This window comes from Homo sapiens, chromosome 2, assembly GCF_000001405.40.
Source record: "Homo sapiens chromosome 2, GRCh38.p14 Primary Assembly".
Classification (NCBI taxonomy): domain Eukaryota; kingdom Metazoa; phylum Chordata; class Mammalia; order Primates; family Hominidae; genus Homo; species Homo sapiens.
This window is the reverse complement of record NC_000002.12, coordinates 194,648,233-194,664,503: the sequence shown is the minus strand read 5'-3', so window position 1 is coordinate 194,664,503 and position 16,271 is coordinate 194,648,233. Positions and strand designations below refer to the sequence as shown.

The window sequence follows — 16,271 nt, the reverse complement described above, 5'->3', positions numbered from 1 at the left end:
TGTTTTGTTTTTGTTTTTGATTTTTTGAGATGGAGTCTCTGTCAACCAGACTGGCGTGATCTCAGCTCACTGTAACCTTCACCTCCTGAGTTCAAGCAATTCTCCTCCTCAGCCTTACATGCAGCTGGGATTACAGGTGCCCGCCACCACGCCTGGCTAATTTTTGTATTTTTTAGTAGAGACTAGGTTTCGCCATGTTGGCTAGCCTGGTCTCCTGACCTCAGGTAATCCTCCCGCCACGGCCTCCCAAACGGCTGGGATTACAGGGGCGAGCCACCACGCCCCGCCAAAAATATTCTTTATATATCTTTATCAATACCAGCAGAAAGCCTCATTGATTAGTAGCTTCTGACTTTTGTTCTGAGTTTGCTGAAGCTAGATGCCATTCCAGATAAGAACCAAAAATAAATAAATAAATAAATAAAAAGAAAAACAGCAGAAAGTTTTCTTTTAACATTTGAATTTTGTTTATTTTAGGGGGAATTTTTTAATATGGTGACATTAAATTGCCTATGGTTGAGAGAAAAAAATTCAAAGCTTTTAATTATTAAAATCGCTGTCTTCATGGATAATTAAGTTAAACTACCTAATATGAAATCATGAGAATTCAAAGGTGTATATTTAAAAAACAGGGCTTTTAAAAAATGTAGAAAACTTTAGAGCTACTCTGTGTCTGATCTTATGAATGGCTGAAATAATTAACCATATAATTCTATAACCCTAATTAACCATGAGTTATAGAAAATCAATAAAAGCTCACCTTCCCAAACTATTTTATGAATGTAATTGAAGTAATACCATTAAAACTGTATCTGTGATACAGCTATTTATATCTTTAGGAGAAAGTAATTAAGGATGGAAAATAAATCCACTATTAGTCATTATTTTCTCATTGAAGAGTTATTACCTTGAGAAGAAGGGATAAATTATAAGACATTGTGAAAATCATTTAAAAATCAATAAATAAACATTGATTCTGGAAATTAAAGAAAACCATAAGCTAATTTAGACAAAACGTTTGTCTTCTACTCACTGCACACATATTCATCGAGCACTCCTCTGGGTGATAAGAATAAAAAAATGCATGCTTTCATGAAGCTTACATTCTAATGGGAATGACAGAAAAAAGTAATTAAGCAAAATATGTAGAATATTGAAAGACATCAAAAGTGATAATTATTTATGAAATGAAATGGATATTGCTGAAGATACGGCTCATTTTTTCTTAAGACCATATAGTAACATATGTTGTAATTATAACTCCTCTATGTTTTTCAGATGTAATTCACTGTTTCTTAAGATTGCTTGTTTAGTCTTACCTTACTCCAGTTCAAACTCAGCTATAAATTTTTCTCTTTACAGGTGTAGGTAATGCAATGCCCTATGTGAGGCAAGATGGTTAAGTGGTCAAGAACATGAGCTTTTGATTCTAAGTAAATTGTGTTGAATCCCAAATCTTTTTCTCTTTCAGATCAATTTATTTATTCCACCAGTTTTTATTTCTTCCTCTGTAGCATCATAAGAATAACAACTATTAGAGTCTTGTGAAAATTAAATCAGATGATGTATGTGTGTAAGGCATTTAGTGTAGAGAAATGCCATATAAGTACTTAATGTTTGTTTTATTATTGTTATTTTTTACATCTAATGCCTGTTTGTTTCTGAAACCAGTGCCTTCTCAGGAATTCTACTAATGTATATCAAAAATCTTGGAAGAACTAGATTTCTTGCTATTTCTATAAACAAATAGTTTCTCTCCTTAAGATGTAATATAAAAGCTATTGCATAAATTAGTTTTTAACAGTTCATATCACTCTGATATCTGAGGAAAAGCTTGATTATGATTCATTTTATTAAGATTTATATTTATGGTAAGATTTTGCCATGTATGTTTAAAAATAACTTGTTAAAACTGGTAATATTTAGTTGTTCAATCGATTATATACTTGTAAAATATAATGAATACCCAATTTAGAAGAAAATGTTAACATCCAGAAACTTACGGTTGTAGGTAGTAATAAAACTTATAATTAAACCCAGATAATTACTTTGTTATAGATATCTGTGATATGATGACCAATTAAATACAGTAATACCCTAAAATATATTAGAATGTGTATGAAGAAGTTGGAACAAAAATATATTTTCAAGGACAGCAAAGCCAAGCATAATATTTCTGTAAGTTAAAGCAGATTTTGTTCATAAAATTTTATAATAGGTAATGGTTATATCAAGTTGGTAACTAAAGTTTTCATTAAAAACATTTGAAAATTGAAACTATGCTGGAAATACTTATTTAAAAAATATTTCAGGGTATATATAAGCAACAATGCAAAGATCTCTGGTTTAGTCCCTGAAGTTTTGGGTTATTATATATTTATCAAGTTAAAAATGGTTAGCAATAGGCCTGAAATCCATTCTCTCCCTTTATCAAGAATAGAACTTTGTATCAGTGATGAGAAAGAAAGAAGAGTAATTTGTACAAAGGAAGTTTAATATAAAGAAACATTAACTAATAATAGAAATTAACTACTAATGGGTAAAGAAAATTCTGAAGAATCAAAATAAGTTGAGTAAAATGGACATTGTACTTGCAAAATCTTAAACCCTTCAATTTATTGAAAGACAATTGTTAATGATAAGTTGTTCTGAAAGCAAGCTTCTATTTACCTTTCAGGGCTGGATTTCTCTATAGGCCTATAGACACATATAACAAAAGAAATTTCTTCCAGTCACTTCTTCTGAATGTGTGCTTATAAACTCCTTTTTTTGTGTTAAACTTTTTCATTTACTGAAAGAAAACTGTTAAGGTTGAGCCATCTGAGAGTAAGCTTCTATTTACTTTTCAGGACTGAGTATCTCTATGGAGACAGAATCATATGGGAAAAGAAACTTCTTCCAATAACTTATTAATGTGTGCTTACAAACCCCTTTTCCTGTTAAACTCTCCCATTCACTGGTAGAAAACAGTGAACAGGTACTACTTGTATGATTGAGATAGAGCACCCAGAGGAAAAAAAAATGTAAAGAACCACCCCCGACCTCAAACATGGAAATAATATCGGTGAAGGTTACCGTGTTCATGGTATATTGAATATTAAAAGTTTACTATTGTGGCCAGGCGTGGTAGCTCACGCTTGTAATCCCAGCACTTTGGGAGGCCAGGCCGGGCGGATCACGAGGTCAGTAGTTCGAGGCCAGCCTGGCCAGCATGGTGAAACACCATCTCTACTAAAAATACAAAAATTAGCCGGGCATGGTGGCGCGTGCCTATAATCCCAGCTACTTAGGAGGCTGAGGTAGGAGAATAGCTTGACCTCCGGAGGTGGAGGTTGCAGTGAGCCAAGATCATGCCACTGCACATCAAGAGTTTACTATTATGTTATGAGCTAGGGATGGTAAGCAGGGCACTACACTCTCAGGTGCCTGCACAACTCATTGGGAAAACACTGGGGTACGTGTGAGACTCACTGGATGTCAAAACAAGCCACTCACTGAGATGACACTGAGCTCCCTAGGAAGAAGCTGAGGTGGTTCACTAAGCTTTCTGAGGATAAGCATAAACGTGCCCTACGTGCTGCTGGACTGGCATGTGCAGGAAGAGGACACCAAAGCATCTGCTCTATTGATGTCCTAGTGAATGCCAAATAACTACCACAATCTGGTTTTTCTAGTAATGTCTAGTTTAGAAACTTGTTTCAATCTACAAACTTCCTGCTCCCTGCCATGAATCTAGAGATTGTTACGTATATGTAGCTTCTGGGTCTGACCAACCCTGCAGAGTAGATTCTGTGTCCACTAATTCAGACATTCTTCAGATAGAGTAAGTGGATAGCAGAGAGGGAAGCAATAGAGAAGGAAAGAGTACCCTATTCTTTTTGAGCCACGGTGGGAATATTGAAAGAAGAGAAGGATTCTCCCCTAAAATATAAATAGTCACATTAGGTTATGAATTTATTGCTTTACTATTATTGGGTTGCATTTCAAAGAAGCAGAAGAATATATGCAAAAGATACTATTGCTCCCCTAAATGAACTAAAGATTTTAATTTCACTGTAAAATTAAAAAATCAATTAAAATTTCAAATACAGAACTTAGCAGCTGATAAGAAATAATTCTCCATGTTCTATCACATTTCTGTACCTCTTTTGAACAGAGTTATTCCAGCTTTTGCTCAGGACTATTTTTTTATGAATGTTTGTAGAGCAAACAGCTTTGGAAGACAGAAATAGCATCTCCCTTAGGAGCAGAAGGCAGATTTATGGTCTTCAAAAATAATAAAAATAATGTCTGCCTCCAGAGGAGAAGCTGAACAAGTTTTCTAACAGCTTAATCTAATATCAGATAGTTCTTCAGCTAGGGCACACATCTACTGTGTGCCCACCATCCACATAGAACGTTCTGCATTTGCTTTGGAACTTTGACTGTCAAAGGTAACTGAGGTGAACATAAAACTCATACTTCTTGCCATGTCATGAATAATAAAATCCATTATTTCTTAAGCAAGAGGCTCTGTTCTCTGCCAGAATTTATAAAACCTTGGAAGGCTAGCTCCTTAGCTTGTATGTGAGGTAAAACTCCATACCTTCACAGTTCTTGAGAGTAACAGACAACAAATAATAACTAGATTGGTTAAAAGCACTATTTGAGATGAATTAACAACAAACTGTGAGAGTAATAGTTTATAATAAAGTCAATTTGAGACAGAGAGCAATGTTGATATTTTGAAATGATGGACAATTACAGCAACTTCTAAAAGATAAAAAAATTAAGGGTGATATTTTCCTCTACTTCTCCAAAGAATCTATAATAAGGCCTGGTGAAATATGCGTAGAATATTTTCAAAGGAATACTGTATTAGATTTGTATTGTTGTATAACAAATCATCGCAGATCAAGTGACTTAAAATAAATACATTACTTAGGCCGAGTGTGGTGGCTCACGCCTGTAATCCCAGCACTTTGGGAGGCGGAGGCAGGCAGATCACCAGGTCAGGAGATCAAGACCATCCTAGCTAATATGGTGAAATCCCGTCTCTACTAAAAATACAAAAAAACTAGCCGGGCGTCGTGGCGGGCGCCTGTAGCCCCAGCTACTTGGGAGGCTGAGGCAGCGGAATGGCGTGAACCCAGGAGGCGGAGCTTGCAGTGAGCCGAGATCGCGCCACTGCACTCTAGCCTGGGCAACAGAGCGAGACTCCATCTCAAATAAATAAATAAATAAATAAATAAATAAATAAATAAATAAATAAATAAATAAATACATTACTTATTTCACAGTTACAATGGGTCCCTAGTCCAGGCACAGGTGGTCTGAGTTCCCTGCTTAAGGTATCACAAGGTTGCAATCAAGGTGATTATAGGCAGGGCTGAAGCTCAGAGTCATCTTCCAAGCTCATTCATGTTGTTGGCAGGATTCAGTTCCTTGTACTTGTATGACTGAAGTCTCTACATCCTTGCTGACTGGAAGCTGCTCTTTGATCCTAGAGTCTCACGACTTACTTCAAAGCCAGCAGGAGAATCTCTTTCTTCAAAAAGAGTCTAGTTCATGTTCTAAAGACTTTCAATAGATTAAGTTAGGCCCACATAGAGTAATCCTCATTTTGATTAACACAAAATGAACTGATTTGCGATGTTAATTACATCTAAAATATTCCCTCACCTTAGTCATATAAGGTGACCTAATCACAGGAAAGACCATCTATCATATTCACAGGTCCTGCCTACCCTCAAGGGGAGGGGATTCTACACAGAATGCACACCCAGGTACACTAGAATTCTGCCTTTCCAGACATGTTAAGAGAATAATAATTATTATTACAGCTGACCACCATGGCACATGTCTGTAGTCCTAACTACTCCGGAGGTTGAGGTGGGAGTATCGCTTGAGACCAAGAGTTCTGGGCTGTAGAGCGCTAGGCTGATAGGGTGTCTATCCTAAGTTTGGCATCAATATGTTGATCTCCTGAGAGTGATGGACCACCAGTTTGCTGAAGAAGAGCTGAACCAGCCCATGTTGAGAATAGGGCACATCAAAACTCCTGTGCTGATCACTAGTGGAATTGTGCTTGTGTGCTTGTGAATAACCACTGTACTCAAGTCAGAGCAACATAGTGAGACTTGGTCTCTAAAATAATAATAATTATTACTATTATCGCATAACTTTAAAAAAGAATAATATAATACTTATTTCATAATAATAGTTTTTACACAATAATAATTGTGTTTCTTTTATGGAATTAATATTTAAAAATAATATTTTAAAATATAAAAGGGATCCTTATTGAAGGTTTAAGAAATAATATGGTTCAATGGAAAGATAATCAAATTGAGAACAGAATGTATTCTAGTCCAGATTCTGCTGTTAATATGTTTGCTGTCTTTAACAAATTTTATCTTTATTTCTTGATTTATTGTTTAATCACCCACTTCTGAAATGTATTTTAAGTGGTACATATACAATATAGCCAGCAAAGTAAAACATGAAAAAAAATAAGCAATCAAACAAGAAAACATATGAAGATATTTGGTAATATCAGTATTAGGTAAAATAAAGCCTTTCAGTGACTGCTTTTTCAGCTTATATAGATTTACTAGTGAGGCATATGAAGAGAAATCTGGGATGACTGGATTTGGGTTTTAGATTTAGAAATCTGGGAAGGAAATTCTGAATAGGAGACCTGCAATATCTGTCACAAGCCTGGAGAAACAAGGTTGACCTAATTTGGCATTTGGTCTAGTTATGAGTGAGAGAGGCAGCAAGATTTTGTGGAAATTGGTAATGTTGAGTCAGACATGGAAATTAATATGAGATTATCCATATGGTCTGGAAAAAACATTATTTTATTCAAGCTATAATATGGAGACTGACTTCTGTTCCCTTGGGCAGCTACAGCAAGAGATTTTGTCTCAAAAGTGTATAAAAAGTTTAATCAAGAAGTTAGATAATTTATGAGATGGGAAATGACTAGGAAGATGGGAAAAGAAAGCTGGAATTTGATGGGCAGAATGTATCTTTGAATAAATCCAGGTCTTCCAGATTTTAGACTTAACACCTCAACATTAATGAAAAACAGTTGATTCATACTTTTAGGTTTCCTCAGGAAAAAGTGACCCAGAACAAAGAACTGCTAGTAAGACAAGATATATATTGCTGAAAAGTAGGTAATTATGAATGAATTATTTTTGGATTGATTCCTGAAGAAACCTCTCTGAAGTCAGACACCCTATTGTGCCATGAGGTCATCAGAAGAAACCTCTTTGGATTTAGGTTGGATTCCTATGAAAGCAAAACTTTTATAAGTGAAAACTAAATATATTTACTACCAAAACATAAGCCATCACATAGAAGCACTGCTTTGTGTCTTCTGCAGAATATTATAGACATTACAAAGAGGAATTCTTTATTTCCATACAATAAGGTATTTGGTAGTTTTAATATAGTAAGTGGTCCTAAGTCCACAGATACAGCATTAACCAGTGGTGGGAGAAAAATTCCAAGTTAAATTGAAATTTTGCTCAGAGGGATTCAGAATGGATTTATTATATTTCTGATTACTTAATAACATGCTCTTGATTACACTCAGATGTCTGTGTGTGCAGGTGAGGGGTGAATTTTATTCCAATGCACCTGAAAATTAAATACCATAAAATTATTAGTCATGAATTCAATGAAATCCCATATGTGTCCATGGGCTAACTAGAATTGGGAAACTCAGTTTACATTAGAAATGTCTTTTAAAAATTGTTTTGACAGCTTTGTTCATTACATGTATCAATCTATCACCTACCAAAGATGTTTTCCTCTGCAATACTTAATAAGAAGAAGCTTAAATAAACAAGGGTTTATTTTCATAATTAACAAAGTTTGGAAGCTAGCATTTGCTGTTGTGTCAAATTGATTCAACGGTTCTACTTAAGGAATGTGGTTGACATCTCATGAATTTTCTTGCCATATTCCTCACATTTAAAAAGGATGCTCCAAACATTGTGTTGAACATTTGATCTTTGAATTCAAATGTAGGAAGTTGCATGGTTTCATCAAGCAGAAAAAAAAACCTTTTTCTAAAACTCTATTACCTTTTAGCAAGCTGTCTTGAAAAGTCTCAATTTCCAGGCTGCTTCCTCTTGAACTTAGTTAGGCAGGGGACCAGGTTCATTTTTTCTGAAACAAAGTCATCTCTGCTCAATATTTGAAGAACATCAGAGGTTTAAAAGCAAATCTGGAGAAATAATAGATTTTGGATAGATTGTCTGCCATTTGTAATTAATCCATCATTTACAAATACTGAACAAACACATTTATAAAGCTAGGTTATGAAAATTATTTAAGTAGTTGGTAGTTTGTGTCTCATGAGATACTGGTAGGTACTCCACTATGTGCTATGCCAAGTATGCCCTAATTTGTCTCTTTTTCATTAAAACAAAGCCTGAATCCCAAGTCATTTTTCCCTTCAGAAATTTTTTTATAGTTACTTGGAAACGTCTTTACCCTCGGACATTTTAATCCCAGAAGATGGAACAATGAACAATCATTTACTGGTGCGCTTTGATTCTTCTGGACTCAGCCTACAGACTGTCTTCCAGAGTCTTCACACTGCCTGGGTATTTGCGTGATATCACTGTGGACACATCAGGGTCATCACTGTGTGGATTTCACAGCTTGGCCTATGGGGAGCTACATCAACCCGGAGATTTTTTCACTCCATTAGTGGCTCCCTCAATTATTAGCCTCAAGGCAGGATTCATCCTGATTCTGAAAAATTCAGCTTTAGATTCTGCAGAGCCCAAGAGCTGGCATCTGTCTTTGAGTCTCTGGAAATACACTAATAATTGAGACCTTATAAATTATTAACCTAGATGACATTCCCCAAACCTCTTAGTTCTCTGAAATGTTTTCCGCCATTGGATTTTTCAGCTCTGTGACAGACTGCCTCTATCTAGGGATGTAATTTCCTAGTCCTTTTAGCCAAAACTTACAGAACAACCATTTTGCTTTTACCTGCTCTCATTTCTGGAGCTTCCCCAAGATGGAAAATATGAGAAGTTAGTATTGGTATGGGCGGCCCTTTTCTCTGCACCTGTCCTCATGTGGCTGTCTTGGATTTGTTGTCCCAAAGTTTCCTAAGGAAACAGAGTGCTATTGTCACTTATGTGTCTACTACATACCCTTATGTATTAAAAGGCCCTATATGGCTCATGACTGTGGTATTTTTGGGTGGCCTCTAAAGTAGCTCTCAGTGTCAAAACACTAGAGACAGTTTTTTTCTTGCTGTTATATATTGCAAGAAAGAGCCTCTTGCAACCAGTAAATATTGTGGGTGTTTCTGCTTCACAGAATGTTAGACTTTGCTTCTGGAGCACACCCCTGTTTTTAAAGGACAATAATTACTTTGTGTTTGATATCTTTGGTGTCATGGCTCAGATGTTCCTCTGGTCATCTTGCTAGTATGTCTTGAATGACTGCAAGATTTTTTCTGAGAACCACGTGGCTCTATTTGACTGGCTTATGCTCATTTCACTCAGACTGGTAGCAAAATTGTGGGTCCTTAAGTCATCCCCATGGTTCTTATTTTCTTTCCCATGGGTTCTGTGTTCTGGGGAGTCCTCAGGACAATTCTCATTTCAGAATCCTTTAGTGATACAATTCTATCCTGGAATTGCTGATCCATAGTTAAAACAAACAATAAAAAGGCCTCTATCTGGGCACCAATTCATGGCTTACTCTCCATCGACTTTTCCTTTATTATTAACTTTACTTAAGATGAGAACTGAGGATCTCTATGGGGCCACGTGAACTCTGAACTTCTTTGATACTATTGAAGTCTATGTATCCCCTGTTATACTTTGTCCCAGCTGAATTCACTACGGAAGATTTAATTCTTTCATCCTTCTCTGTCTTGTCCAAAACTCCAGTAACATGGAAGAATTTTTTTCCTTCTTAACCATGGCATGGGTTCAAAAATGATTTAAAGTTATCAGACATGGACACTTAGGCTAAGATGCCTTGTGATCATAAAGTATTGTGTGGTCCTAGAGAATTTAATATCATTTACATCTGCTCTGAGCCACACACTAATCCAAACTCAAAAACTTTGCCTTCCAAGTATTAGCACAAATATTCCAACAACATACACAGCTTTTGGTGCATGGTGGCTTCAGTTATGGTATTAGCACTTATTTTATCACTTGTTTAATGATATTAGTTACTTTAAAAACAATTTTTAAATAAGCTTTAACTTATGAGATAATTTTAGATTTATGGAACACTTGAAAACAAAGTAGAATCCATGTATATCATTCACTCAACTTCCCCTAATGTTAACCTCATGTATAACCACAGTATATTTGTCAAAACTAAGCAATTAATATTGGTACAATACTAGTAACTACAGGCTCTATTCCTATTCTATTGATTTTTCTGCTAATGTTTATTTTCTGTTTAGTATCCAGTCCAGGCTACCACATTGCATTTTGTCCTCATATCTTCTTCGTCTCCTCTGTCTGCGACAGTTTATCAGGTTTTTCTTGTTTTTGGTAACCTTGACAGCTTTGACAAGTACTAGTCAGGTACTTAGTAGAATGTCTTTAAATTGGGGTTTGTCTGATGTTTTATCATGGTTAGTCTGAGGTTATTGGATTTGGGGAAAGAATACCAAGGAGATGAAGTACGGTTTTCATTGCATCATATCATGGGGCATATTAAATCAACGTGACGGATCACTGGTAATATTAACCTTGACAACTGGTTAAGCCGCTATCTGCCAAGTTTCTTAACTGTAAAGTTACTATTTTTTTATTTTTCACATACTATTTTTTGGAATTGAATCACTAAGTCTACCCCTAACTCAAGGAGGAAGAAGTAAGCTCTGCTTTCTGGAGTGGGGACTATCTATCTGTTGAGCTATCTATCATTTAGAATGGTTCTATAAGATATATTTGCCCCTTCTTCCTAGCTTAATTTTTGTTCACTTTTTAATTTTTATGAGTATGGATCAATAGATATTTTATTTCTTGAGTTATAATCCAGTATTATCATTATTTATTTGTTGCTTGAATGGTTTTACCTTTGCCCATTTAGAACTTTTCCAGATTATCTCCTGTGTCCTTTTGAATTTCTCTCACAATTTTCTGTGTGTGTGTGTGTGTGTGTGTGTGTGTGTGTGTGTGCATGTCTTTATTTTCTGGCCCTAAACAAGGCCAGGTTTAGCTTCTATTTTCTTGCCCAACTCCTAGAATCACCCATTTCTCCAAGAAGCCTTGGTTCCTTTTATTGGAGAATGGTATTTCTACACCAAGATATGAGCATTCGTATGCTAATTGCCATTGAGGAGTCACTGTTTCTAGACCATCTGAGAAGACATAACTAGGAAATATATGTAGATTACTAACCGAGGTATACACATACTGTAATTATTTTACATAAATCTGTATGAATATGAAAATAAACATGAGTTCATACTATCTTTAGCACCACATCATCATTCTAGCAGACCCCCACCCCCAACTTCTGTATTTCCACTTCTTTTTCTGACAGTATAAGCATCGTTCTCATATCTACTATTTATGTACTTGTTCAATGTTAGTATGCATATAGATTAAGAACTGCTAACCCATACCCTTGTGAAAATAAAATACTATTTAAATACAGGTTTTGGTTGTATGTTTTTAGTCTTACATCATCTCATCAAAACACAATTTTTCCAGTTTCATATAGATCATTACCCTTTTCCCCACATCTTTCAGTGAACTTAGGCCATAGATTTGTAATACAGTTAGATTCACTTGTCACAGTCTGCATTCCATTGCCTGGTTCCTCAAGATCTTAATTGATTTTTCCAAGGGATTTCAATTTATTGTTTATGATGTCTCTACATATACTCCCTGAACACTTCTTGATTGATATACTTTCATGCGTTAATGGCACTCAGATATACTAGAGAGTTCAACCAAAATGCAAGCATATCATTATTTTCTCATGATCAGATTATGCATCATGCATTTTTCACTATCTGTATCCCATACAGAAAGACCTTAATACCAGTATCAAAATACAGTAGTGTTACCATTTTTCCCTTTTTGTTTGGTTTATACTATGAAGATTGGCACAGCCTATGTGGGAGTTGATCTGTGTGACACAGCTTTGATGATCAGGATGAGAATGCATTCCTGGTTATTACCAGTAGTGATTGGTCTGCAGTGCAAATGGATCATTTTCTCTCAATAGTCCTCGATAGGATATCAAAAGTATCAGTGCTGGTACACTAAACTTTACCAGCTTGGGAATAAGATAGAATAAGGCTTCTAGTTTTTCTGGCTTTGGTGTCCACTGGTGATACTGAAACTCCATGAAACATCATCCAAGTAATTTTTGAAATTTCATGGTTTTCCTTACATGCTGTCACAGTTGAGTCAGGAGTCAGCTGATTGCTAACACTACTATATTGAGCATCTATAGAGTGTTGCTGAAACTGCCAGAGTTGTATTGTCTTATTTTCAGAATCCACTGAGTAATAATACATCAACTTGGAACTACTATTAACTCTATGGATATCTGTGTTGTAATACTGAGTATACCAATAATCTGTTGATTTCTTTTGGATGAATATTGATTTCCTAGTTTTTTGTTATAATTTGGGAATGTTTCAACCCCCCTCTCTGATATTTTTATGGAGAAATCCAAAGTGAAAAGGCCTATGTTATAATATTTTATACACTTTTAACTTATTTTTATATGTATTTTATATTTTCAACTGACTGATTCATTCATCTCTGCTTTTTTATGGTTCACCTTACATTTATACAATTGAATATTAAAAGAAAAGGCTAACAGGAAGGAAAAAAATGCCAGTGACACTGTGCTCTTTTGTTTTTCTTATTGTGTTTGTGGTTAAAGTTTTAATTTCATATTTGTAAATTACTTGTGTCTCATCTTCCATTTACATTCCTGGTAGTGTCCCCAGTCAATCTTTTAGTTTTTTTTTTCTTACTGATTTGTAAGATTATATTCACACACACACATAAAACACATATATACATGTATATAAAATAACTATATATATTACACGCACGTGTGTGTGTAACATATATATTTTATTAGCTATATAACAGGTATATGCTTTATAATATCTTCTCCCTGCTTGTGGCTTATTTTTTTTTTTAGAATGTTATATGGACATATGTTCTTATTTTATAGAGTTGTATAAGAATTCTTTCTTTCTTTTATTTCTTTTTTTTTTTTTTTTGCAAAGATGAACCTTAACATTTTGCATTGGAATGCCTAGTTGCCTTTTATACTGAGACCAGGTGAAGTAAAAAGGCAAATCACACCATGGAAAATATATTTGCAATTCATAAAAGAGAAAAAAAACTTTATATTCAGAATATACTAATTTATCAATAAGCAAAGACAAATGAAGATATTGTTAAAGAATCTAAAAGGCCACTTTATAAGAAAGAAACCCCAAATGTCTAAGAAAGATGAAAATATTCTCAACCTTGTTAGGAATCAGGTAGATGCAAATTTAAATCACAGTGAGATACCATCATATACCCAAGAGATTTGTAGAAATTATGCAATCTGAACAAATGATGGGTAAATGTGGAACAAAGAAAACTCTTATATAATGCCAATAAATAATGTAAAATCTGAAAATGTTAGGTAGTATCTCATAAAGCAGAAGATAAGCAAATCCTATTGATTTACAATTCTATGCTTGAGAATATATACCACAAGAATGAAAGTTTTTAAGTATCCATAAGCATTCAAGGGATAATAACAATAGGATTGTTTCTAATATATCAATATATATTAGAAATATAATTGGACTTATGTTTTAAATTATATATTTTAAATATATATTTATATATTTTAATTTTATTTTTAAAATATATTTTATATATTTTTATACTTAATATATATTATATATTTTAATTATATATTTTAAATATATATAAATTTTATAATTTAATTTAAATATATTTAAATATATATAAATATAGATAGACTTATATTTTAAATTATATATTTAAAATTAAATATATAATATATATTTAAAATATATAATTTAAAATATAAGTCTAATTATATTTCTAATATAAGTCTAATAAATATATTTAAATAGACTGGAAAGAACCCTAAACCCTATTTCCAGCCTAAATAACCCAAGGCTGGAAATAAACCTTCTAATATCCATAGAAGGAAGAAGCAAATAATAGTATATTGATATGGAAAGCTATAACTACAGTCATAGAAATAAAAGTATTGCATAAGTAAGCACAAACCTGGAAGAGTCTTACAGACATAATATTGAGAGAGAGAGACAGAGAGAGAGAGAGAGATCAGAAACAATAGAACATGTGCAATTTGATTACATTTAAACAAAGTCCAAATTTTGTTTAAATACTAATAAAATGATTAAGAATAATAGCGAAGTAAAGGTCATAAATGTTGCATTAGTAAATTACTCCTGGAAGGATGAAGAAGGATGAGGAAGAGGCATGTGGAGGCTTCTGAAATACAATAAAATGTATTTAAAGATCATTCCACAAAATACTGTGGTTAGGTTCAGCTCCATCATCTAAATGATATAAATATCAATACAGGTAAACTAATTGAAATTTCTACACTGTGTTGTTATAGATTATTTTTACATTTTTGTTTTTCTGTATTTTGGGAGATATATAGGGGTGTGTGTCTGTATGTGACGGGTTTTAATAATGTGATGGTAAATATTTAAAATCCAGATCTAAAAGAAATGAAATAGTTTGTAACTCTTCATTATGTCAAGTTATCGAGTGTGAAATATATTTTGTTTTTAATTGTGTCTGCTTACATGGAGTTTCAAGAATATCTAAAATCCTAGGAAAAAATAACATTTTAAGCTGCTAAATCCAGTGTGTTTAAATTATTTATCATCAAAATTCACTGAATAAATTTAACCCTATTAAAATATTCTTCAATTAACTCTGTGCCCCAGTTTGGTGACATGTGGAATATTTCCAATTACTTTAGGGCATCTCTAAATTCTGCACAAATTTTTAGTTGTAATTTAATTTTTTTGAGCTTACAGTCTGTTAACCACTGGAATTCAGATATATCTGAGGATGTCTAAGAGATCAGTTGAGTACCTAGCCAAGACTCAATTAGGGTGTGAAACTGAGTAGCCTGTTAGGAAAGAATGTTAACATAGGGTCAGTACTAGGAGAGACAGGCAGGCTAAATTAATGAGTAAGGGTACAGATTATAAACTCAGAAGCAAGCACATTTAAGCTTGCCTCTCCCAATTCTGTTTTACATGACTTTGGACATGCTATTTACTCTTTGGGGGCCATATTTTTCTATATACAACATGGCACATTAATAGTACCTAATGCAATTATTGTATTAAATAAAATAATGTATTATAAGGCTTAGCTAAATGTCAAGTATGTATCACACTCTCAATATGTGGTAGCTCTTTTTACAATGTTTAATTTAAGACCTGTTAATATAATAGTTTCTCAGTGTTCAGAGGATTGACCTAATTGAAGAGAGTGTAGTGTTTCTATGCTTATTGATCATAGCAATGTCTCACCTACATTCAGGTGAAAGTGGCAGAGTAGGGAGGCAGTGCCCAAGGGAGGTATGTAGGATTTTAGATTCCAGAAGCTTTGGAAGAGAACCTAAAGGTCATTATAAATAAGACAAAAATCAATGCTATACATTACTTGGTATCTGCCAATTGTTTTGTGAAAACAGATAAAGTGAAATTTTAGAAATAATTGGCAAAAACATTGATGGGAGGTGAAGGTATGTAGAAAGTGGCAAGAATCTGTAAAATTCACTATATAACCACATATGGCACATAAAGCTGAAGGCAGTGCATTTGAAAAACTAAAAGATAATAGAATGTCTAAAGTCCAAACTTAGTGAGATCTCAGAATTAAAACAGCATTTATGTGTTTATAATAAAGATGAAGATACTCCATAAGAGATGATCCATATCTTCTATCTAAGTTGAGCCTCCACATTCTAAGATAAGCTTCTAAAATTGGAAAGTATTTGAATGTCTTATGACCAGTATGATTCTAGGCTGTGGCATACGCTAACATCCCCTCCAAAATTACTAGTTAATTCCAATATTGTAAAGAAATAATATTATGAGTGGATGGAATTTTCAGGATGTAGAGAAGAAAGAACAGATTTCTGAAAAGACACACTTATATTATTGAGTTTAGAATGTGGAATTCTTGGTTAATATCAGTACATTATAACATGGTGTAACAGCGATG

General features: G+C 33.9%; 1 non-coding gene across 1 annotated transcript; it reads left to right on the top strand.

The window, feature by feature from the left end:
• The first annotated feature begins 329 nt into the window (after nt 1-329).
• Nucleotides 330-397, top strand: LOC124906142 (small nucleolar RNA SNORD59). The gene has a single exon (XR_007088713.1). It is a non-coding gene; the product is annotated as a small nucleolar RNA SNORD59 (small nucleolar RNA).
• Nucleotides 398-16,271: the final 15,874 nt, after the last annotated feature.